This window comes from Homo sapiens, chromosome 9 (assembly GCF_000001405.40).
Source record: "Homo sapiens chromosome 9, GRCh38.p14 Primary Assembly".
Taxonomy (NCBI): domain Eukaryota; kingdom Metazoa; phylum Chordata; class Mammalia; order Primates; family Hominidae; genus Homo; species Homo sapiens.
In genome coordinates this window covers 19,104,628-19,128,877 of record NC_000009.12, presented here as the reverse complement: position 1 = coordinate 19,128,877, position 24,250 = coordinate 19,104,628, and the positions used below count along the sequence as shown (strand labels likewise).

The 24,250-nt window shown below is 45.4% G+C and overlaps 1 protein-coding gene across 3 annotated transcripts, besides 5 other annotated features; it reads left to right on the top strand.

Annotated features, from left to right (window-relative positions):
- Positions 1,048 to 1,607: a silencer, noted in NCBI's record as "silent region_19790". NCBI's record gives its function as "represses an Ori minimal core promoter by ATAC-STARR-seq in GM12878 lymphoblastoid cells {active_cell/tissue: GM12878}" and the evidence as "EXISTENCE:reporter gene assay evidence [ECO:0000049][PMID:35858748]".
- Positions 1,048 to 1,629: a biological region, named in NCBI's record as "H3K27ac hESC enhancer GRCh37_chr9:19127247-19127756".
- Positions 1,120 to 1,629: an enhancer, noted in NCBI's record as "H3K27ac hESC enhancer chr9:19127247-19127756 (GRCh37/hg19 assembly coordinates)". NCBI's record gives its function as "activates a minimal SCP1, AML or CMV promoter by ChIP-STARR-seq in primed H9 embryonic stem cells {active_cell/tissue: H9 hESC(primed)}" and the evidence as "EXISTENCE:reporter gene assay evidence [ECO:0000049][PMID:30033119]".
- On the top strand, positions 1,386 to 20,490 carry PLIN2 (perilipin 2). Of its 3 annotated transcripts, XM_017014259.3 has the most exons (9): positions 1,386 to 1,459; positions 2,430 to 2,481; positions 2,569 to 2,764; positions 5,231 to 5,313; positions 7,713 to 7,998; positions 9,047 to 9,228; positions 10,423 to 10,557; positions 12,229 to 12,519; positions 20,131 to 20,490. In XM_017014259.3, the coding sequence occupies exons 2-9, from the start codon at positions 2,452 to 2,454 to the stop codon at positions 20,263 to 20,265; spliced, it is 1,338 nt and encodes a 445-aa protein (XP_016869748.1). In that variant the 5' UTR covers positions 1,386 to 1,459; positions 2,430 to 2,451; the 3' UTR covers positions 20,266 to 20,490. The 3 variants fall into 3 exon arrangements, 2 of the variants coding, with proteins under 2 accessions (XP_016869748.1, NP_001113.2); NM_001122.4 differs by lacking the exon at positions 20,131 to 20,490 and having other exon boundaries at positions 12,229 to 13,117; NR_038064.2 differs by lacking the exon at positions 20,131 to 20,490 and having other exon boundaries at positions 2,430 to 2,764; positions 12,229 to 13,117.
- Positions 1,630 to 2,140: an enhancer, noted in NCBI's record as "H3K27ac hESC enhancer chr9:19126736-19127246 (GRCh37/hg19 assembly coordinates)". NCBI's record gives its function as "activates a minimal SCP1, AML or CMV promoter by ChIP-STARR-seq in primed H9 embryonic stem cells {active_cell/tissue: H9 hESC(primed)}" and the evidence as "EXISTENCE:reporter gene assay evidence [ECO:0000049][PMID:30033119]".
- Positions 4,593 to 4,887: an enhancer, noted in NCBI's record as "tiled region #12241; K562 Activating DNase matched - State 5:Enh". NCBI's record gives its function as "activates a minimal TATA promoter and a strong SV40 promoter by Sharpr-MPRA in K562 cells {active_cell/tissue: K562}" and the evidence as "EXISTENCE:reporter gene assay evidence [ECO:0000049][PMID:27701403]".
- Positions 20,491 to 24,250: the final 3,760 nt, after the last annotated feature.

The following is a 24,250-nucleotide window of genomic DNA, read 5'->3' as shown; positions in this document are numbered from 1 at the left end:
AGCTTCATCTGGAAATCCCCCGCCACTCACGGGGGAAGAAGTCCCACGAGCCCTATCTGGCCTCGGGCGCTGGCGCAACTTGTCTGCTCAAATAATCTCGTTCCAAATCTGTGCGTTTTACACAAGAAACAAACAAACAAAACAACAACAACAAAAAAACACAACTGGGACTCAGATGACGTTTTAAGTTGTCTTTGAAAAACAATGCATAACCCTGCACGTATAAAGTTGCCTATGTCACATAACCCTAGGCAGCTGTCATTCTGGAGTGATCTGGAGTTAAGTTTTTTGTTTTCTTTTTCTTTTTTCTTTTCTTTTTTTTTTTTTAGACAGGGTCTCAGTCACTCAGGCTGGGGTGCAGTGGTACAGTGGCGCGATCTCGACTCATTGCAGCCTCGACCACCTGGGCTCAAAAGATTCTTTCACCTCAGCCACCCACCCGCCTGCCCCCAACCCCGCTAAACAGCCGGGACTAGCTGGGACTACAGGCGCGCGCCACCACGCTGGGCTGCTTTCTTTGTATTTTGAGAGAGACGGGGTTTCGCCATGTTGGCCAGGCTGGTGATTCGCTCGCCTCGGCCTCCCAAAGTGCTAGGATTACAGGCGTGAGCCACCGCGCCCAGCCGCCACAAAACTTTTAAAAGTTATTACTTCGCTAAAAATAACAGCGTAGAAGCCATTGTGCAGCGCCACGCGATCTCGGCTCACTGCAGCCTCGACCTCCCAGGCTCAAGCGATCCTCCCATCTTAGCCTCGCAGGTAGCTGGGGCCACAGGCGCACGACACCACGCTGGGCTATTTTTTAAAATAAAATAAAAATCTTCGCCAGGCTGGTCTCGAACTCCTAGGCTCGACAGATCCTCTCGCCTCAGCATCCCAAAGTGTTGTGATTACAGGCGTGAGCCACCGCTTCCATTTTTAGAGTTCTATTCTGAGGACTAACGCCGTTCAACAAGTTGGTGTGAATTTGTTTGCATTTTTCAAAACCCCAAAGCCGGCCTGGGCGCCATCCCCATTTGCCCCGGGCCTCTCAGGACCCCGACCACAGGCAGGACCCCGACCACAGGCAGCGCCCCGACTCCAGGCAGCGCCCCGACTCCAGGCAGGGCTACCTCCAACTCCCAGCCTCCCCAGGCCGGGCCCCCGCCCGGCTCCCGACAGGCTCCTCTCCCCGTGGCGGGGCCCCTCGCCCAGGCAGCACACCCTCTCAACCCGACCGGGCCCCCACCACTCTAGGAGGGCCGGCGTTGGGGGAGGGCGCCGGGACGTGCCCGAGGGTGACACTCGGGCTTGGGACAGGGCGTGCTGCCGCGGGTCACGTGCTGCGGAGGCTTGGGGAGGGGCGGCGAGGCGGGGTTTATAGCCCGGGCGCCCGCGGGCCCCACGCTTTGACCGGGTCGTGGCAGCCGGAGTCGTCTTCGGGACGCGCCTGCTCTTCGCCTTTCGCTGCAGTCCGTCGGTGAGTGCGCGCCCAGTGGGTGCCCCAGCGAACCGGTCCCGGGCCCCCAGCGGCGCCCAGTTGGGGTGGGGGGCTCCCCGGGGCCTTGGGACCGCTGCTCTGCTCCCCGCGGGGCTCAAAGGTGGACGGGACGCGGGGGTGATGGTCCGAGACCCCCCGCTCGCCTCGCGGCTTCCAGGTCCTGGCTGGGTAGGGGCGGTCTGCTGAACCCGCGCTTTCGACCCTTGCCTTTGTGCGTTGAGGCTTCTTTCCTGCCAACAGATTTAGGGCGATTGCTATCGAATGTCCCTTGGCCTGCTTGGGTGGTTGTGGGAAAACAATATTTGTCGAAGGGACATTATCGAAAGGGAAACGCGTTAGAAAACCGCATTTTTTTTTTGACGGAGTCTCGCTCTGTCGCCCAGGCTGGAGTGCAGTGACGCCATCTAGGCTCACTGCAACCTCCGCCTCCCGGGTTCAAGCGATTCTCCTGCCTCAGCCTCCAGAGCAGCTGGGATAACAGGCGCCCGCCACCACGCCCGGCTAATTTTTGTATTTTTAGAAGAGACGGGGTTTCACCACGTTGGTCAGGCTGGTCTTGAACTCCTGACATCAAGCAGTCCACCCCCCTCGGCCTCCCAAAGTGCTGGGATTACAGGCGTGAGCCACCGCGTCCGGCTTGGCTAGCATTTTTGTTAACAGATACTCGGAGAAACAAGAGAAGTATGTCAACAACTTTACTTCTCCCTCCTGAGTATTGCAAGTTTACACATAAGCTCTGAAACTTTGCCTCAAAAGAGGGAGTGGGGTTGTGTGGGTGTGGGTCTTTCAGGAGGGGGACCTGGAGAGCTGGAGAGAGGAAAGAAGTGCAGAAGACTACAGGGAGCTCACCCTGCATTTTTCTCTACTTGTAATCAGCATTTGCTTGGGTTGGGGAATGAATTTGGGAGAGTCTTATCCCGGTGTTCTGAAATAAGTCTCTTTTCTGCAGATTTCTTTCTCCAGGAAGAAAAATGGCATCCGTTGCAGTTGATCCACAACCGGTATGAATTTTGAGTAGCCTTTGTCTACTTTCTCTCCTTTTGTGTTTTGAGAGATTAATAAGCATACCCTCCCTACTTTGATTGCAGAGTGTGGTGACTCGGGTGGTCAACCTGCCCTTGGTGAGCTCCACGTATGACCTCATGTCCTCAGCCTATCTCAGTACAAAGGACCAGTATCCCTACCTGAAGTCTGTGTGTGAGATGGCAGAGAACGGTGTGAAGACCATCACCTCCGTGGCCATGACCAGTGCTCTGCCCATCATCCAGAAGCTAGAGCCGCAAAGTGAGTTCTGATTTTTCAAGATGCAAGTCAAGGGACTGGTCAGTGGCGAGCCCCTGAGCTCACAGCAGTAACATCTGGAACTCCTCAGCCCTTCCTGGGGCATACACTGCCTTTACCTAGAAACTTTCAGGTGACCCTCATTACCGTAAGAGGACTGTTTCTTTTCTTTTCTTTCCTTTTTTTTTTTTTTTGAGATGGAGTCTCACTCTATCACTCAGGCTGGAGTTCAGTGGCGCAGTCTTGGCTCACTGCAACCTCTGCCTGCTGGGTTCAAGTGATTCTCCTGCCTCAGCCTCCCGAGTAGCTGGGACTACAGGCTCCCACCACCATGCCCAGCTAATTTTTGTATTTTTAGTAGAGACGCGGTTTCACAATATTGGCCAGGCTTAACTCCTGACTTTGTGATCCACCCACCTCTGCCTCCCAAAGTGCTGGGATTACAGGCGTGAGCCACCGCGCCTGTCCACAGAAGGCCTGTTTCATAGCTTTGGCAGATGTTTATGATCCTTTAATTAAAAATCCCCCAGAGGATGGGCACGGTGGCCTGCACCTGTAATCCTAGCACTTTGGGAGGTCTAGATGGGAGGATCGCTTGAGGCCTGGAATTTGAGACTGCTCACTGCAGTCTCTGCCTCTCGGGCTCAGGTGATTGTCCTGCCTCAGCTCCCTGAGTAGTTGGGATTACAGGCATACACCACCATGCCCAGCTAATTTTGTATTTTTAGTAGAGACAGGGTTTTGCCATGTTGGCCAGGCTGGTCAGGAACTCCTGACCCCAGGTGATCCGCCCGCCTCGGCCTCCCAAAGTGCTAGGACTACAGGTGTGAGCCACCATGCCTGGCCATGAATGAGTTTTAGAAATGGATAGTGGTGATGGTTGTATAATGTTGTAAATGGACTTAATGCCACTGAATTGCACAGTTAAAAATGGTTGAAATGGTGAAATTTGTTATGTATATTTTACCGAAATAAAGAATAGAAATGTCATACTCCATGAGAAATCTCATACTCTCATACTTAGTAGTCACTCCCCATTTCCTAACAACCACCCTGAGGCAGCTACTCATCTACTTTGTCTTTATAGATTTGCCTATGCTGGATATTTCTTATAAATGAAATCATAAAATGTGTGGGTTTTTTTGTGATTGGCTTCTTTCGTTAAGCATAATGTTTTCAAAGTTAATCTGTCTTGTCACATCATATCAGTACTTCATCTCTTTTTATTGTTGAATAGTAATTTACTGTCTAGACAGACAATATTTATTCATTCTTCAACTGATGGATGTTTGGGTTCGTTCTACTTTTGGAGATTATGTATAATGCTTCTGTGAACATTTGTATACAAGTTTTTGTGTGGACATGTTTTCAGGTTTTTTTGGTATATACCCAGGAGTGGAATTGCTGGGTTATATAATAACTGTTTAAGCTTTTGAGGAGCTGCCAGACTGTTTTCCAAATCAGCTGTACCATTTTACATTCCCACCAACACTGTATGGAGGCTCCAATTTCTCCACAACATGAACTGCTTTTGAATAAAGATTTAAATCATTCTTTCAAATGGTTAAGCCAGGGACTTTTAGGATTATAAGGAGCCTTTAGAGACCAGCCATTCCAACTCTGCTACTTCCTAAATGAATTTGGTACTAGTACTTGGTTTGGTATTCTTAGTGGGAAGCTCACACTAAAATCTCCCTTGTTAGGGAGATCCAGGGTGGTCTTGGCATACTCTTTCCTCCTGAGGACCCCAAATACACTGACCTGTGCTGAAGTAAGCGTAGGTAGGGATTAAACTAGCATGGGAATGCCGATTTTGAGAGAGTTTCCAGATACCTTATTCTCTGAATGACAGTTCAGGGAAAGCCCGGCTACTCTTGGCATTAACATTAGGGGCCAGTTGATAAGGAAGAAGCTTCAGAGCCAGCTTCCTGTTTGGCCTGTCACTGCCTCTGCCTGCTCCTCCCTCACACCCCCATATTTCCTTACCTTTAGAAGAGAGTTGCCAGCAACTTGCCAGGCCTCTTCCTGTCAGAACTAGATAAACCAGGCAATGCCTTCTGTTGTATAAGATCAACATTCTTGCCTTTTTTTTTTTTTTTGAGATGGAGTCTTGCTCTGTCACCCAGGCTGGAGTGCAATGATGCATCTTGGCTCACTGGAACCCCTGCTTCCTGAGTTCAAGCGATTCTCCTGCCTCAGCCTCCTGAGTAGCTGGGACTACAGGCGCACACCATCACGCCCAGCTAATTTTTGTATTTTTAGTAGAGACGGGGTTTCACCATGTTGGCCAGGATGGTCTCGATCTCTTGACCTCGTGATCCGCCTGCCTCAGCCTCCCAAAGTGCTGGGATTACAGGCGTGAGCCACCGTGCCCAGCCCATTATTGCCATTTTTTATAAGGCCTATGGTAATGTGTGTTCATTCTATACCTATAGTACTACATTAACATTTTCCCATTTGTGATTCTAGTTGCAGTTGCCAATACCTATGCCTGTAAGGGGCTAGACAGGATTGAGGAGAGACTGCCTATTCTGAATCAGCCATCAACTCAGGTGAGCTTGGGACAAAAGTGCTGAGACTTGACACTTCACATGTTTTCATCTTCTATCTGTTAAAACAAGCTGTACATATCACAAACAGGCAAATACTTGTTTTCCCAACCTGGATCTGGATGTATGTTTGAAAAATAATGGCCACTTCCTTACTTCCTGAACTGTTGTCAAGTTGTATCTACGAAGCAGAGAAGAACTAGCCTCCTTTGGATTAGAAAACTTTTAGTGTGTTGTCTATCAGTTTGTGTCTTTGCTCCTATAAATGAAATTGCTGTCTCAAGTAACTGATTGTCTTGTGGTATTAAATAAATGCAGACGTGATATATATAACCTTTTCTCACCTGGCTTGTACAATGCTGCCAGGAACTACCATCCATATGGGATAGCTAGCCAGTGTTGACAAAAATGATAGGCTTGTCTGTCCTGGTGATCCTTTGGTTCAGATAATGTCCTAAAATTTTGTTTCAAATTAAGAATACAGAATGGCACAAAAGGATACCAGTTAGGGAAAAATATAGCTCTGTGTCTTTTCATAATCTAAATACAGTCATCTGTCACTTAGTGATGGGAATATATTTTGAGAAATGCACATTAGGTGATTTTGCCATTGTGTGAACATCACAGAGTATACTCACACCAACCTAGATGGTAGAGCCCAGTGGTCCCCAAGCTTTATGGCACCAGGAACTGGTTCCATGGAAGACAGTTTTTCCATGGACCAGCAGGGGGTGGGTGGTGTTTTTGGGATGATTCAAGTGCACTATATTTATCATTAGATTCTCATAAGGAGCATGCACGTGCACAGTTCACAAGAGGGTTAGGGTTAGGTCTCCTATGAGAATCTAATGCCGCCTCTGACTGGTAATGGACTGGTAATGGACTGGTAATGGTCCATGGCCCGGGGGTTAGGGACTTGTGGTGTAGCCTGCTATATACCTAGGCTATATGGTGTATAGCCTGCTATATACCTAGGCTATATGGTGTATAGCCTGCTATATACCTAGGCTATATGGTGTATAGCCTGCTATATACCTAGGCTATATGGTGTATAGCCTGCTATATACCTAGGCTATATGGTATATAGCCTGTTGCTTGCTTCTAGGCTACAAACCTGCACAGCATGACTACACTGACTACTGTAACACAATGATAAGTATTCGTGTATCTAAACTAGAAAAGGTACAGTGAAAAAAAAAAGTATACCTGTTATAGGGCAGTTCATTATAATCTTATGGGACTATCATTGAATAGTGGTCCATCGCTGACCAAAATATTATGTGGTACACAACTATAGGTAGGTTTAGTGTATAGCCTTTAGAATGCTTGTGCAAATCTTTTAAATTTTTCACTTACATTGCTTGAGACTGTGCTAATGGTGAGAGTTATTTTCCATTTCGGATATTTTCTTTAAATGTTGGTAACTTGTGTTCTTTTTTTTTTTTTTTTTTTTTTTTTTGAGACAGAGTCTTGCTCTGTCACCCAGGCTGGAGTGCAGTGGCACAATCTCGGCTCACTGCTGTCTCTTCCTCCTGGGTTCAAGCAATTGTCCTGCTTCAGCCTCCCCAGTAGCTGGGTTCACAGGCACGCCCCGCCACACCCAGCTAATTTTTTTTGTCATTGTTTGTTTGTTTTTGAGACAGAGTTTTGCTCTTGTTGCCCAGGCTGTAGTGTAATGGTGCAATTTTGGCTCACTGCAACCTCCACCTCTGGGGTTCAAGTGATTCTTCTGCCTCAGTCTCCCAAGTAGCTGGGGTTACAGGCATGTGCCACCACGCCCAACTAATTTTTTGTATTTAGTAGAGACGGGGTTTCACCATGTTGGTGAGGCTGGTCTCGAACTCCTAACCTCAGGTGATCCAACCAACTCAGCTTTGCAAAGTGCTGGCATTACAGGCATGAGCCACCATGCCCTGCCATGTATAATAACTGCATACTAATAACACCCCGAGGGCCAGGTATAGTTTGATCTTCAGTTTCCTCTCTGGATTTGTGTGACTTTGGAATAAGCTATATAACTTACCTTCTTTTCTTTTCTTTTTTTTTCTTTTCTCTTCTCTTTTTTTTTTTTTTTTTTTGAGACAGGGTCTTGCTCTGTCACCCAGGCTGAGTGCAGTGGCACAATCACAGCTCACTGCAGCCTTGGCAAACAGACAAATTTCATATCTGTTTACTTCATTTGCTCCTCCTGCAATTCCCAAGGATTGGCAGGTAGGGCAGATATACTTGATAGGGAAATTCAGGCTCATCAACTCTTAGTGACTTGCCCAAGACCTAAAGCTAGAGTGAGAGGACTAGATTCCTTCTTTAACTCTTCAGCTGTGCTGCCTTAGTTAAGACCTTAGGTATGTCCTTGTGCTCATTTTTCTCACCAGCCAGGGGATCTGCTTTTCTACTTACAGATTGTTGCCAATGCCAAAGGCGCTGTGACTGGGGCAAAAGATGCTGTGACGACTACTGTGACTGGGGCCAAGGATTCTGTGGCCAGCACGATCACAGGGGTGATGGACAAGACCAAAGGGGCAGTGACTGGCAGTGTGGAGAAGACCAAGTCTGTGGTCAGTGGCAGCATTAACACAGTCTTGGGGAGTCGGATGATGCAGCTCGTGAGCAGTGGCGTAGAAAATGCACTCACCAAATCAGAGCTGTTGGTAGAACAGTACCTCCCTCTCACTGAGGAAGAACTAGGTAACTGGAATTTTATCTTGAAATACTGTTTTATATTAAATCTTTCTTAAACAGCTTCATTGACATATACTCTCATCTTGAGTCTAAATTTACACAGTTGTGCAAGCATCACTGCAATCCAGTTTCAGAACACTTCTGCTACCCCAAAAGATCCTCATGCCTGTTTGCAGTCAGTCCTTTTTAATTTAATTTAATTTTATAGAGATGGGATCTCACTATGTTGCCCAGGCTGATCTCGAACTCCTGGGCTCAAACGATCCACCTGCCTTGACCTCCCAAAGTTCTGGGATTACAGATGTGAGCAACCACTAATCTTTTTGCCTCTATAGATTTTCCTTCCTAAAGCAATCATAAAGTTCACATTGAATCGTACGTAGTAAGTTTTGAAACCTTAGCAAAAATTGGCCTTGAAAAATATTTTCTGTAAATGGATAGTCTTTAATGGATTGCTTTATAAAATCCTCCTTACAAAGAATCATCATTAGGTAATGTGTGCCAGGTACCATGCCGCTCAAGTTCACTCTAGGCTGGGAGCAATGGTGCATGCATGCCTACAATCCCAGCACTTTGGGAGGCTAAGACAGGCAGATCGCTTGAGTTCAGGAGTTTGAGATTAGCCTGGGCAACATGGCGAAACCCTAAAAAACACAAAAATTAGCTGGGCATGGTGGCTTGTTCCTAGAGTCCTAGCTACTCGGGAGGCTGAGGTGAGAGGATCAGTTGAGCTCGGGAGGTTGAGGCTGCAGTGAGCCAAAATTGTGCCACTGTACTCCAGCCTGGGCAACAAAGCAAGACCTGTTTCCAAAAAAAAAAAAGCAGTTTACTCTAGTGGGAGAAACGTGTAGATGCATGCAGTGTGTATCAGATACAGTAATATGTTCAGGGTAGTCAAGTCCAGCAGCAGACGTGAGCAGTCTTGGAAAAATGACTGCATGATTGCTAAGTGATTGGGTAGAAGTAAGAAAGTCAAGACCCAGGTTAGAGTCCAGGCCTTATCACTTGTCACTGTGATCCCTTAAGTTTTTTTGTCTCTTATTTCTAACTTCAGAAAAAGAAGCAAAAAAAGTTGAAGGATTTGATCTGGTTCAGAAGCCAAGTTATTATGTTAGACTGGGATCCCTGTCTACCAAGCTTCACTCCCGTGCCTACCAGCAGGCTCTCAGCAGGGTTAAAGAAGCTAAGCAAAAAAGCCAACAGACCATTTCTCAGCTCCATTCTACTGTTCACCTGGTGAGTAAAACTTTATTTTAAGGTGTCTGAAGTGGGTTCATTTATCTCTAGGCCCAAGAATTAAATGTAATCACAAAATCCAAGAATTTCATTCTTAGTTGACAAACAACCCAATAGAAAACTGGACAAAGAATATGGAGACAGCTCACAGAAAAAGGAAGTATAACTAGTTGAAATATAGGAAGCAATGCTAATCTCGCTCTGAGGGGTCAAATACTGACATCTCTCTTGTCCTGCCACACGGGAAATGTGGCTGTTGGCAACGGTGTAGAGAAAGAACCACACTTGTGCAGCTCTTGCTCTAAGGGACTGATTCAAGAGACAGTTTTAGTAAAGTTACAAGCATACCTACACTTGGAGCTGTTTTACTTTTTATCTTACAGATGTGTATATTTGTTTAAAGTTGCAAGAGACTATAACAATGCACATCCACTAACAGGACTAATTAAATTGATATATCACAATAGACTACTGTGTAGCCATTAAAGGTTTCCAAGTTAAAGAACAGTATGTACCATTCTGTACTGCCATGAGAAAACCATTTCTTCTTAGAAGGGGAAATAGTGGTTGGCAACAGGGAAGAGGAAGGTCAAATTCCTTTCTGTTTTGTAATGCTAACTTATCCTTTACTCATGTACACATTAAATTTTAGTTGCTGGCTGGGCGTGGTGGCTCATGCCTATAATCCCAGCACTTTAGGAGGGCAAGGTGGTTGGATCACCTGAGGTCAGGAGTTCGAGACCAGTCTGGCCAACAAGGTGAAATCCTGTCTCTACTAAAAATACAAAAATTAGCTGGGCATGGTGGCGTATGCCTGTAATCCCAGCTACTCGGTAGGCTAAGGCACGAGAAGGAGGTTCAGTGAGCTGTGATCGCGCCACTGTACTTCAGCCTGGGTGACAGAGTGACACTCAAAAAAAATTTTTTGTAGTTTTTTAGTTGCTTTACCTGTGCTAAACTGGAAGTAAATGTGGAGTCAGTGATTTAATAGTTAAATAGAGGCAGTAAAGAGCTACTACTGCTTGGTTAATTTACACATATTGATAATAAATAATAATGATAGCAGGAATAGATCTTATTCAACTCCAGGAAATTCTTAGTTTTTATGTTGCCTGATTTACATCATACATCTGCAAACAGGCTAACGTGAATATCTGACTTGTGTGTTCCTTTGTCTTGTTTCAATGTGTCTAGATTGAATTTGCCAGGAAGAATGTGTATAGTGCCAATCAGAAAATTCAGGATGCTCAGGATAAGCTCTACCTCTCATGGGTAGAGTGGAAAAGGAGCATTGGATATGATGATACTGATGAGTCCCACTGTGCTGAGGTAAGATGACTGGGACGGTCATTTGTTGGTTGCTGAAGAAGTTCTTATCAGACTTTTCATTTCAATTTTTCCATACTATGTCTTAGAATACTCTTCTCTATCAAAAGGTTGAACAATACCATGTACATAGGTGGCTAGTTATGTGGCAGAAAAGCAAAACTAGGCAGCGAATAATTTTATCTAACAACCTATGAGTATACATATGCCCCAAGTGAGATACAACTAAATGAGAAACACAGGCCTTGCCCTCATAATGGGTACAGACTAACAGGGGATACAGCCAGCCATGCTGTCCTATTTTGTGCCTTTTTAATGCTCCTTGCAGAAGAGGGCTATCTCATAGGCAGTACACTCAGAGTAGCCAAGTCCGGTTGTTGTTTAACGGCATAAATACAGGTACTATTGGCTGGGCGCGATGGCTCACGCCTGTAATCCCAACACTTTGGGAGGCCGAGGCGGGTAGATCACGAGGTCAGGAGATCGAGACCATCCTGGCCAACATGGTGAAACCCTGTCTCTACTAAAAATACAAAAAATGAGCCAGGCATGGTGGCACGTGCCTGTAGTCCCAGCTACTCGGGCAGCTGAGGCAGGAGAATAGCTTGAACCTGGGAGGCAGAGGTTGCCATGAGCCGAGATCATGCTACTGCACTCCAGCCTGGGCAACAGAGTAAGACTCTGTCTCAAAAAAAAAAAAAAGAAAACATATGGGAAGACTATCTCAGGCAGCCTTGGAGTGGGGGTAGTTGAGTCACATTGCTTTCTGGAAGAGATGAATGGTAAGCTGAGAACTAATGGGTGAATAAACTAGGTGAAAGGGCAATAAGGTGACCAAGGTTCCAGAGGGAAGGCATAGCATCTTGGCTGGGTGCAATGGCTCACACCTGTAATCTCAGCATTTTGGGAGGCCAAGGCAGGCAGATCACTTGAGCCCAGGAATTCAGGACCAGCCTGGGCAACTGTGAAACCCCATCTCTACAAAAAATACAAAAATTAGCAGGGTGTGGTGGTGTGCACCTGTAGTCCTAGTTGCTCGAGAGGCTGAGGTGGGAGGATCACCTAAGCCCGAGAGGTCGGGTCCGCAGTGAGCCATGATTGTGCCAGTGCCCTCCAGCCTGGGCAACAGACTGAGACCCTGTCTCAGAAAGAAAGAAAGAAAAGAAAAGAAAGAAAGAAGAAAGAAAGAAAAAGGAAGGGAAGCAGGGAGGAAGGAAGGGAAAAGAAATATCCTCTTATAGTCCTAGAAAGTGGTTCTTTGTGTCCCAAAAGCTCTGAAGTCAATATGAACTGTTTGTTCATGTCTTGTCATTTTATTTGAGGAGGGAATATATACATTACACTACTAACATGAAGGATATTTCCATTCTTTTGGGTCTCCCCTACCTAATATGTTTCTTCAGTTTAAGATGATGAACTTTGGAGACTCAGGCACTAGTTCGAATCCCTACCCAGCTGTTTTCCAGTTGTTAACTGAAGCCATCTACTTAAACTCTAAGCTTATATTCATATCTATGAAATGTGAATAATACTGCTGCACTCGGCATTGTAATGAGGATTTTTAAAAGCCAAAGAATCCACATATGTGGTGGACACATAACCAGCCTACTGTCATCGAACTAATTTATACATAGCACTGTTGGATCCACTGCTAATTTTAAGTTTTATTTTTAGCACATTGAGTCACGTACTCTTGCAATTGCCCGCAACCTGACTCAGCAGCTCCAGACCACGTGCCACACCCTCCTGTCCAACATCCAAGGTGTACCACAGAACATCCAAGATCAAGCCAAGCACATGGGGGTGATGGCAGGCGACATCTACTCAGTGTTCCGCAATGCTGCCTCCTTTAAAGAAGTGTCTGACAGCCTCCTCACTTCTAGCAAGGGGCAGCTGCAGAAAATGAAGGAATCTTTAGATGACGTGATGGATTATCTTGTTAACAACACGCCCCTCAACTGGCTGGTAGGTCCCTTTTATCCTCAGCTGACTGAGTCTCAGAATGCTCAGGACCAAGGTGCAGAGATGGACAAGAGCAGCCAGGAGACCCAGCGATCTGAGCATAAAACTCATTAAACCTGCCCCTATCACTAGTGCATGCTGTGGCCAGACAGATGACACCTTTTGTTATGTTGAAATTAACTTGCTAGGCAACCCTAAATTGGGAAGCAAGTAGCTAGTATAAAGGCCCTCAATTGTAGTTGTTTCCAGCTGAATTAAGAGCTTTAAAGTTTCTGGCATTAGCAGATGATTTCTGTTCACCTGGTAAGAAAAGAATGATAGGCTTGTCAGAGCCTATAGCCAGAACTCAGAAAAAATTCAAATGCACTTATGTTCTCATTCTATGGCCATTGTGTTGCCTCTGTTACTGTTTGTATTGAATAAAAACATCTTCATGTGGGCTGGGGTAGAAACTGGTGTCTGCTCTGGTGTGATCTGAAAAGGCGTCTTCACTGCTTTATCTCATGATGCTTGCTTGTAAAACTTGATTTTAGTTTTTCATTTCTCAAATAGGAATACTACCTTTGAATTCAATAAAATTCACTGCAGGATAGACCAGTTACATGCTGTTTGTTCCATATGCTTTGTGTGTTGCTTTCGTAGAGCTGCTTAACCTGCATGACAGAGTTATTATACATACATGAATTTCAATTGGCCTGTTGGGGAGTTTGGCAGAGTGAGAACATTAGAAGGCTAATGTTAAAAATGGGATGCTTGGCCGGGTGCTGTGGCTCATGCCTGTAACCCCAGCACTTTGGGAGGCTGAGGTGGGCGGATCACGAGGTCAGGAGATCGAGACCATCCTGGCGAACACGGTGAAACCCCATCTCTACTAAAAATACAAAAAATTAGCCGGGCACGGTGGCGGGTGCCTGTAGTCCCAGCTACTCGGGAGGCTGAGGCAGGAGAATGGCGTGAACCCGGGAGGCAGAGCTTGCAGTGAGCCGAGATAGCGCCACTGCGCTCTGGCCTGGGCGAAAGAGCAAGACTCCATCTCAAAAAAAAAAAAAAAGAAAAGAAAATAGGATGCTTGATAACAAATTAAAAAAAAATAGGATGCTTGATAACAGATTTAAAACAAATTAAAAGCTAATGTGCATATTCAAATTTTACTAGGTGACAGTTGGCCCTCTTTGTTTGCCAACTTACTGGACCCCTGTGAGTGGGTTTTTAAACCAGTAAAAGGGCCTAGTCATGTCTGACTACCTCACTGAAAAGGAATCAGAGCTGAAAGGAAGTGAGTGATTGTTTAAATCAGCATCATGTAAAGGCATTGGGCATTTCTTGCCAGGGAACCAGTTAAAGCGTGAGTCCTAAAGGGAGATTCTTCACTGTCCAGCCTTAGCTGGACTTAACTTACTGTGTTGTCATTTTGGGAAAAAGTCACTAACCTCAGTTGTTGTTGGGGACATACGTATAGAAGACCATGTGAGACTAATTAGAAGTAAAAAGACTTTAAGCCCCCTGTAGAAAAAGGTTCTTCTTACCTCCTGCCTATGGTATCCAGACTTCTAGTCCATTCAACATTGGTTATTTAGGAACCATCCTGAATCTCCTTGTCACACAGATGAAATATGTCAAACTAGTTTTTAAAAGTGAGTCTCAGAACTTGTGAAATAGGCCAGGCGCTGTGGCTCATACCTGTAATCCCAGCACTTTGGGAGGCCGAGGCAGGCAGATCACCTGAGGTCAGGGATTCGACACCACCCTGACCAACAACGTGAAACCCTTTCTCTACAAAAAATACAAAAATTAGCCTGGCCTGGTGGTGCACGCCTATAATCCCAGCTACTTGGAGGCTGGGCAAGGAGAATCCCCTGCGTCTGGGAGGTGGAGGCTGCAGTGAGCCAAGATTGCGCCACTGCACTCCAACCTGAGCAACAGAGTGAGACTCTGTCTTAAAAAAAAAAAAATGTGAAATAGAGCTACATGCTTCTGGCTGTCCCTGCTAAAAGGTAAGCAGGGCTGCCCTCAGCAGAACTGGGAAGTCTAACTCAAATTAGTCTCTTTCTATCCTGGTTCACCCCTTTCTCTCCATGAAAACAAGGAAGCGGCACATAACTTTACATGTTCCTTTGGTGTGAGTGAGTTTATTAAAGTTTTTTATCGACCAGGCACGGTGACTCATGCTGGTAATCCCAGCACTTTGGGAGGCCGAGGTGGAGAGATCACTTGAGGTCAGGAGTTTGAGACCAGCCTGGCCAACAGGGCAAAACCCAGTCTCTACTAAAAACATAAAAATTAGGCCGGGCTTGGTAGCTCACGGCCTGTAATCCCAGCACATTGGGAGGCTGAGGCTGGCAGATCAAGAGGTCAGGAGAGGCCAACAGTGGCCAGCCTGGCCAACATGGTAAACCTTGTCTCTACTAAAAATACAAAAATTAGCTGGGCATGGGGGCGTGCACCTGTAATCCCAGCTCCTCGGGAGGCTGAGGCAGGAGAATCGTTTGAACCCGGGAGGTGGAGGTTGCAGTGAGCTGAGATTGCGCCATTGCACTCCAGCCTGTCCAGCGACAGGGCGAGACTCCATCTCAAAAAAAAAAAAAAACCAAAAATAACAACAACAAAAAACCCCACAAAAATTAGCTGGGCATGGCTGTATGCACCTGTAACCCCAGCTACTTGGGGGCTGAGGCACAAGAATCCCCTGAACCAAGGCAGGTGAAGGTTGCAGTGAGCCGAGATTGTGACACTGCACTCCTGCCTGGGTGACAGACCCTGTCTCAAAAAAAAAAAAAAAAAAGTTTTTATCAAGTTACAAATTTTTTCTTCTCATTGTAACTCCAGAAATCAGTAAACAGGTGAGTTGAGTTGGAGAGTAGGTGGGAAATCCCTAGGATTTGTTTTGCAGATAAGGAGCTTCTGGTTTCTGGGAAGGATGGACTTTTGTGATTTATGGGTTTCCAGGACAGAGCCTAGTCACTCACTTGCCTTCCTGTTCCCAGTGACTGGCATTTTCTAGGCCTCTGCCTCTTAATTTTTTTTTTTTGAGGCAGAGTCTTGCTCTGTTGTCCAGGCTGGAGTGTGATGGTGTGGTCTCAGCTCACTGCAACCTCCGCCTCCCAGGTTCAAGCTATTCTCCTGCCCTCAGCCTCCCAAGTATAGGCGTGCACCACCATGCCTGGCTAGTTTTTGTCTTTTTAGTAGAGATGGGGTTTCACCACATTGGCCAGGCTGGTCTCGAACTCCTGACCTCAAGTGATCTGCCCGCTTCGGCCTCCCAAAATGCTGGGATTACAGGCGTGAGCCACCACGCCTGGCCACACATGCTTTCTTATCCTGAACATACACCTTTGTGTTTCCCTATTATAAGAGTTATAGTGTGTTACTTTAGTACAAATTAAAAAAAAAAAAAGAATTGTAGTCCTTACTGAATAGCTTATGAAAAGGAGAGAGGTCTCAAAGCTCTTCTTCCTGAGCAGGGGCAGAATAAAATGTAGAACATCCTTAGCTTCTAGAAGAGCACCAGCAGCCCTTGCTTTTTGCTGTGAGCTGTGCACATTGGTCATGGTTTTGCTGTCTTTGTGTTTCAAGTTTGTGTCTACATGCATTTCATTCATTTGTCAACATGTCTCAGGATTTGTGGTGTTCTGGCATTTTTTTTTTTTTTTTTTTTTGAGATGGGCTCTTGCTCTGTTGCTCAGGCAATAGTGCAGTGGTGTGATTGGCTCACTGCAAGCTTCGCCTCCCAGGCTCAATCGATTCTCCCTCCTCAGTGTCCTGAGTATCTGGGACCATAGGCATGCACAATCACACCTGGCTAATTTTTGTATTTTTGTAAAGATGGGGTTTCACCATGTTGCCCAGGCTGGTCTCAAACTCCTGAGCTCAAGTGATCCACTCACCTCGGCCTGCCAAAGTGCTGCGATTCCAGGCATGAGCTACTGAACCTGGCCTGTGTTCTCACATCTTGCAGCTTCATTGTTGCATAAACTGGCAGAAAATTTTGGTTTTACAGACTTTTTTTCCTCCAGAAAACAGTTCTTTTGAGGGAAAATACTGACTAAGGCTAACATAGTATGTAACCATGGCAGGTTCGTCAACATTTGACTGCATGAAACCTGGCATGGTGTGCCTCAGGGAGTGTTCAAGAATGTTTTTTCCTTTGCCTGTAATGATAACATAGTCTTTCTAGTTTGTCCTATGCAAAAATGCAAAGGAATATGATGCATTGGCCATTAATCTCTGAGCCTTAGTTTTCTCATCTATTAAGTTAATGTTGCCTCAACAGATGGAAGTGAGTGTTGAGGATGGGGGTGTGCTTTTTAAATTTGCGCTAGAGGCATGGGGACATCATCTGTGGGACAGTGACATGTAGTATCTTTAACTTGGCAGTTCAAGGTGTGAGTATATAATACCAGCTCATGGTTAGGAAAATACATCCACTTTGATAAGGCAGTTATAGGTATTAAAGAACTAATGAAACTGGGCCTAGTGGTATGCACCTATAGTCTCAGTTTCTCAGGTGGCTGGGACAGGAAGATTGCTTGAGCCCAGGAGTTCAAGGCTGCGGAAAAAAAACAACTAATGAAGTGAAAAGGAAAAAGCTAAAATTTGGTTTATATAAGATATAGGGCTACAGGTCAGCTTAAGCCAAAGACTTGTTTTATGGTATCTTTCTTGGTTACCTTTTGAGATTCTGATGCTACCCCACTCCCTCCACCCCAAAATGAACTTCTTTAGGACTGAACTTCTAAAACCTTAGTTTTAGAAATTATTAACTCCTGAAAAAAAAAATGGTGTCAACTTGACCCTCACTGGGCTAGTCCCAGGTCGTATTTTTAGGACTGGTGAGGGTTAAGGACTTCTAACCAACCATCCTAAGCTGAGAGTCAGGAATAGAGTGCTCAGAAGGAAAAGACTGAATTAGAAAATTATACTCTTAATTGGTGGTGAGAGGCAGGCAGCCTATACTTCGTTGAATTTGACAGATGAAACTGCTGATTAACACAGTACATCTTTAATTGTAAAAATTGCCCAGGTGCGGTGGCTCATGCCTGTAATCCTAGCACTTTGGGAGGCCGAGTCGGCAGATCACTTGAGGCCAGGAGTTCAACGGCAGCCTGGCCAACATGGTGAAACCTCGTCTTTACTAAAGATACAAAAATTAGCTGGGCATTGTGGCTCGCTCCTGTAATTCAAGCTACTGAGGCATAAGAATTGCTTGAACCTGGGAGGCGAAGGTTGCAGTGAGCCAAGATGGCATCACTGCACTCCAGCTTGGGCGACAGAGCGAGACTCCGTCTCAAAAAAAAAAAAAATTGTTAAGATTGTCAGTAAGATGACTAAGTGAAGTGATAGGAAGGCAGTCGAGGGGAAAATGTTTGCAGTGGGAGGTAGACAGAATTGCCTGAGATTCTTCTCATGTTTTTCTTGCTTAAACTGGGCCTGCAGATTAGAGATATAATATGAAATATAATATAATGAAAGGCTTTGAATCTCACAAGGGAGCCTAGTCTTGATACATAATATACTTTCTAGGTTTTTAGCTGGTACAGATTTTATGAAAGTGCCATTTGAGAGTGCCATATAAAAGATAGTAGAGCTGGCTGGGCACGGTAGCTCATGCCTGTAATCCCAGCACTTTGGGAGGCCAAGGTGGGTGGATCACCTGAGGTCAGGAGTTCAAGACCAGCCTTGCCAACATGGTGAAATCCCATCTCTACTAAAAATACAAAAATTAGCCGGGTGTGGTGGCACACGCCTGTAATACCAGGTACTTGGGTGGCTGAGGCAGGAGAATCACTTGAACCTGGGAGGTGGAGGTTGTAGTGAACCGAGTTTGCACCACTGCACTCCAGCCTGGGTGACAATGAGACTCCATCTCAAAACAAACAAACAAACAAAACAAAACGAAATCCAATGTCAAAATTTCCATTTTTTCAATTTTTAAGTGTACAATTATGTGGCATTAAGCACATTCACAATGTTATACAACCATCACCGTTATATTCATCTTAAGCACAAATTCTGTACCTATTAAACAATAACTCCAGGCTGGGTGCAGTGGCTCACGCCTGTAATCCCAACATTTTGGGAAGCCAAGGAGGTTGGACCACTTGAGGTCAGGAGTTCGAGACCAGCCTGGCCAACATGGTGAAACCCCATCTCTACTAAAAAATACAAAAATTAGCCAGGCATGGTTGCAGCGCACGCCTGTAATCCCAGTTACTCGGGAAACTGAGGTAGGAGAATCAGTTGAACCTGGGAGGCTGAGGTTGCAGACAGCTGAGATTACGCCACTGCACTCCAACCTGGGGGAGAGAGTGAAACTCCATCTAAAACAAAACAAAACAAAAAAACCCACAATAACTCCCCAATTTCCCTCTTTCCTTCTATTTTTTGAGGGATTTTTTTTTTTTTCCTGTAAACAGTGTCTTGCTCTGTTACCCAGGCTAGAGTGCAGTGGTGCAATCTTGGCTCACTGCAACCTCTGCCTCCTGGGTTCAAGTAATTCTCCTGCCTCAGCCTCCCGAGTAGCTGGGATTACAGTCATCTGCCACTATACCCGGCTAATTTTTGTATTATTAGTAGAGATGGGGTTTCACCATGTTGGCCAGGCTGGTCTCGAACTCCTGACCTCATGATCCACCTGCCAAAGTGTTGGGATTACAGGCGTGAGCCACCGCACCTGGTCTTTTTGAGGGATTTTTGTTGCTGTTAGCTCTTTTTCCTCTGTTAGGTAATCAGCTACATTTTTTCCTCCACTATCAAGATTCTAGCCTTTGGTAATACGTTTTATGTTATTAATTTTTTTTCTTTTCTTTCTTTTTTTTTTTTTTCAGACAGAGTCTCGCTCTGTCGCCCAGGCTGGAGTGGTGGTGAACCTCGGCTCACTGCTCCTGGATTCAAGTGATTCTCCTGCCTCAGCCTCCTGAGTAACTGGGGCTACAGGGGCATGCCACCACGCCTGGCTAACTTTTTGTATTTTTAGTAGAGACAGCGTTCCACCGTGTTAGCCAGGATGGTCTCGATCTCCCAACCTCGTGATCCTCCCATCTCGGCCTCCCAAAGGGCTGGGATTACAGGCGTGAGCCACTGCAGCTGGCCTTAATTTTCTTGTTTTAATCTGTTGTTTGCTAAGAAACATTACCTAGCTTATCGAAATTGTATATAAAATAAAATTTGATAGAGTTTCTTGTCCCTAAAGGCTTTCCTGTGCAGGGAAGAGGTAGGGTTTTGTGATGGCTGTTTCAACCATAAAAAGACCTTTTGTTTCCTCAGTTGCTAAACATTTGCCTAGACACTTGCTTATGGAAAAGTGGGGTATTATTGTTTTTAAGAAAGTAATAGATTAATAGTTGAATAACAAAAAATGCTTTATATCTGGTATTTTTTAAAAAAGCTTCATTGACTAGGTTCCACCACTAGTTAGTTTCCTTTTTAAAAGGTTTCCTTAGTGCTTTTATAGTATGAGGGAATTGCAGGAATAAGACCACAAACATCTTTTCAAAAAGCACAGCTATGGACAAAGCAAGGTTCACCTACATGCACTAAAGTCTCCATGAGCTCAGATGGACCTGACAACTCACTTCATCGGTGTTTGTTTCAATATCCAAGATTCTTCTTTTACAGGTGTTTGATTTCACCACCATAGACTTGACATCTGAGACTGATGAAATTCCAGATATTATAGCTTTGGAAGAGGAGAACGGATCAAATAATTCACATGCTAATGGCCCTGTCCTCTCAGGGCAAGATGTTGAATAACTAACAACAATAAAATACCCCTTTTGGTTGAATACGCAATTTGTATTACATTAAACTTCCTGTTTTTATTCCTGTGACTTTGAAGAGTGTTAATCTATTTTTTGGCTACATTGGTCTTAATTGCAATGACACTCTGATCTAAACTTTTGTAAGAGATCCTAGTTCTGTGTCATATAATCATTTAATATAATTAAAGTTTAATTGCTGAAATACTTATAATGAAAATTGGGCTGTATAATCTTGACTTCATGATTTTTTTTCCCACTGGTATAGTGAACATTTGTTGTCTTTTGGTCTCCCATGATTCATTCATGCTTCTTTTGAAGGTCTCAGTGGGTATAGTGGTCAAGGTTTTTGCTTTCCCTTAGCCTAGTGATGGGCATGTGACTAAAAGCAGGTCACCTGGGAGGAAGCATAGCATGATGGGTAAGGGCTCAGACTCTGGGTTGTAATCTGGCTCTGCTGCTTACTGTGTGACCTTCAGCAAGTTACTTAATTTCTCTATGCCTCATTTTTTTCATCAGTAAAACAGGAATAGGGCTAAGTTTGCTCTGAAGATTAAATAGTTAACATTTGTGAAAAGCATAAAGCAGTGCCTGGCACAGAGCCGCATTAAGTATTAGTTGCCTGTAATCCCAGCACTTTGGGAGGCCAAGGCGGGTGGATCACTTGAGGTCAGGAGTTTGAAACCAGCCTGGCCAACATGGTGAAACCCCGTCTTTACTAAAAATACAAAAAAAAAAAAAAAAAAAAAAAATTAGCCGGGCTGTGGTGGCACAGGCCTGTAATCCCAGCTACTCAGGAGGCTGAGGCAGGAGAATTGCTTGAACCCAGGAGACAGAGGTTGCAGTGAGCCAAGATCACACCACCGCCCTCCAGTTTGGGTGGCAGAGTGAGACTCCATCTCAAAAAAAAAAAAAAAAAAAGTATTAGTTAAGGGAGTAAACTGTAGAAGCAATCCGGGGGCAGTGGCTCACACTTAGAATCCCAGCACTTTGGGAGGCCAAGGTGGGAGAATCACTTGAGCCCAGGAGTTCCAGACCAGTGTGGGCAATATGGTAAGACCTTCTCTCTATAACAAAAAACCTTAAAAAATTAGGCTGGGCACAGTGGCTCACGTCTGTAATCCCAACACTTTGGGAGGCCAAGGCGGGCAGATCACTTGAGGTCAGGAGCTCCAGACCAGCCTGGCCAACATGGTGAAACCCTGTCTCTACTAAAAATACAAAAATTTGTCAGGTGTGGTGGTGGACGCCTGTAATCCTAGCTACTCAGGAGGCTGAGGCAGAAGAATACCAGCCTAGCCTGGAATTCCTGGCCTCAAGTGATCCTCCTGCCTTGGCCTCCCAAAGTGCTGGGATTACAGGCATGAGCCACTGCGCCTAGCTGCCAAATCTTAGAATGAGGCCTAGTGAGTGAGAACTAAACTCTGATCTTTTTTCTTTCTTGTCCAAATTCCTATCTACAGAACTTGGGGAGTCATGTCCTACAAGCCATAAAAATCTCATCAGATGGGTTTTGTTGAAGCCTATATAACCCAGCTTACTTTCCAACCTGACTAGCATAATATCACATGACAGATAAAGAAGGAAATCAAAATATTTTTTCCCAAAATATGTTTCTTTGTTATATTTTGAAATGGTCCTGCAACGTCGTCGCTTATGGGGAGAAATCTACATCTGTAAAGAAGCTGGCTGGTGGCTCACGCCTGTAATCTCAGCACTTTGGGAGGCCGAGGCAGGCAGATCACCTGAGGTCTGGAGTTCCAGACCAGCCTGGCCAACACGGTGAAACCCCGTCTCTACTGAAAATACAAAAATTAGCTGGGCATGGTGGCGCATGCCTGTAATCCCAGCTACTTGGGAGGCTGAGGCAGGAGAATTACTTGAACCCAGGAGGCAGACGTTGCACTGAGCAGAGATGGCGCCACTGCACTCCAGCCTGGGCGATAGAGTGAGACTCCGTCTCATAAATAAATAAGTAGATCTTTCCCCTGGCAGGCCCTCCCAATCCTGAAGAGATTAACTGAGGATCCAATACTTGCTCTGTCACCCAGGCTGGAGTACAGTGGCGTGGCATGTGATCTCAGCTCACTGCAACCTCTGCCTCCTGGGTTCAAGGGATTCTCCTGCCTTAGCCTCCCAAGTAGCTGGGACTACAGGCGTCTGCCACCATGCCTAGCTAATTTTTGTCTTTTTAGTAGAGATGGGGTTTCACCATGTTGGCTGGGTTGGTCTTGAACTCTTGACCTCAGGTGATCTGCCTGCCTTGGCCTCTCAAAATGCAGGATTACAGGTGTGAGCCGCTGTGTCTAGCCTAAATTTTTTTTTTTTTTCTGAGACAGGGTCTTGCTCTGTTGCCCAGGCTGGTGTGCAGTGGCATGATGTGGGCTCACTGAAACCTCTGCCTCCTGGGCTGAAGCAATCCACAGCCTCAGCCTCCCAAAGTGTTGGGATTATAGGTGTGAGCCACCGCATCCAGCTTCTAGTACTTTTGGGTGGCCACCTATGAGACTTCATACTAACCCTGGTGTCCACAACCACTTATCTTGACCTAGAAACTTTTCTATGGATTCCAGGTCTTTAGATAGTAGCTTGACTCTAAACCAATGGCAATCATAAAATCTTTGTTGTTGTTGTTGTTGTTGTTTTGTTTTGAGACACAGTCTCACCCAGTCGCCCAGGCTGGAGTTCAGTGGTGTGATCTCGGCTCACTGCAATCTCAGCCTCTCGGGTTCAAGCGATTTTCCTGCCTCAGCCTCCCGAGTAGCTGGGATTACAGGTGCGCACCACCATGCCCGGCTAATGTTTGTATATTTAGTAGAGATGGGGTTTCACCATGTTGGCCAGGCTGGTCTCAAACTCCTGACCTCAAGTGATCCGTCTGCCTCGGCCTCCCAAAGTGTAGAGATTACAGGTGTGAGCCATCACATCCGCCCCAATCAGAAAATCTTTGAGTCCACCTATGACCTGAACCCACCACTTTGAGTTGCCTCACCTTTCTGTACAGAACCAATGTATACGTCACGTGTATTGATTGATGTCTTATGTCTCTCTAAAACTGTATAAAACAAAGCTATAGCCCCATCATCTTGGGCACATGTTCTCAGGAACTCTTGAGACTGTGCCTCAGGCCATGGTCATTCATATTTGGCTCAGAATAAACCTCTTTAAATATTCTGTTAGAGGAACCCCTGCTTACCAGACCTCTGGTTTAATAAAACATGACTAGAGTGACTCCATCTTAAAGTAGCTAGGCACTTACAAGGCTCCTATAAAATTAATGCTTATGGTTTAAAAATAGCCACATTCTAAGCTGGCCACCAATTATAATTACAGAATATTTATGGCCATACAGGACATCTCCCACTAAGCCTGCAGAATGTCCAGATGTTCTAAAGAGCAGCCCACTTTACTTAAAGATGACGTTAATGAGCAAGCTTAGGTTGAAAGATTAATGGTCTCTGAAAGCACAATAGCCCTACCTTTAGTGAGCACATCTGCGCATTCCAAGTTTAATCACAGCTCTTTATAGTTTCTTACAAGCAGAGACAGTAACAAAGGACCTTGTGTTCCTCCGCCTGCTTTCTGAGGTTGCTCCGCTCTTCAACGGAGTAGTTTCCAATAAACTTGCTTCCTTCATTGTGTTCTGTGATTCACCTCAAATTATTTCCTGCACGAGATCCAAGAACCTTCTCTTTGGGTCTGGATCAGGACTCTGTTTTTTCCGGCAACAATTTTACAGACTTTGACTCTTTTTGTCGACAGGAGTCAGAGATTTTTTTTTTGTGGCTGTTCTTTTGCTTTGAGAAGGGTCTTGCTCTGTCACTAGGCTGAAGTGCAGTCGTGCAATCACAGTTTACTGCAGCCTCAGCCTCCCAGGGCCCACGTGATTTTCCCACCTCAGCCTTCTGAGCAGCTGGACCACAGGCGTGCACCACCAGAATGGAGTCAGAGATCTTACAGATGACCTCCATAATGAAAAG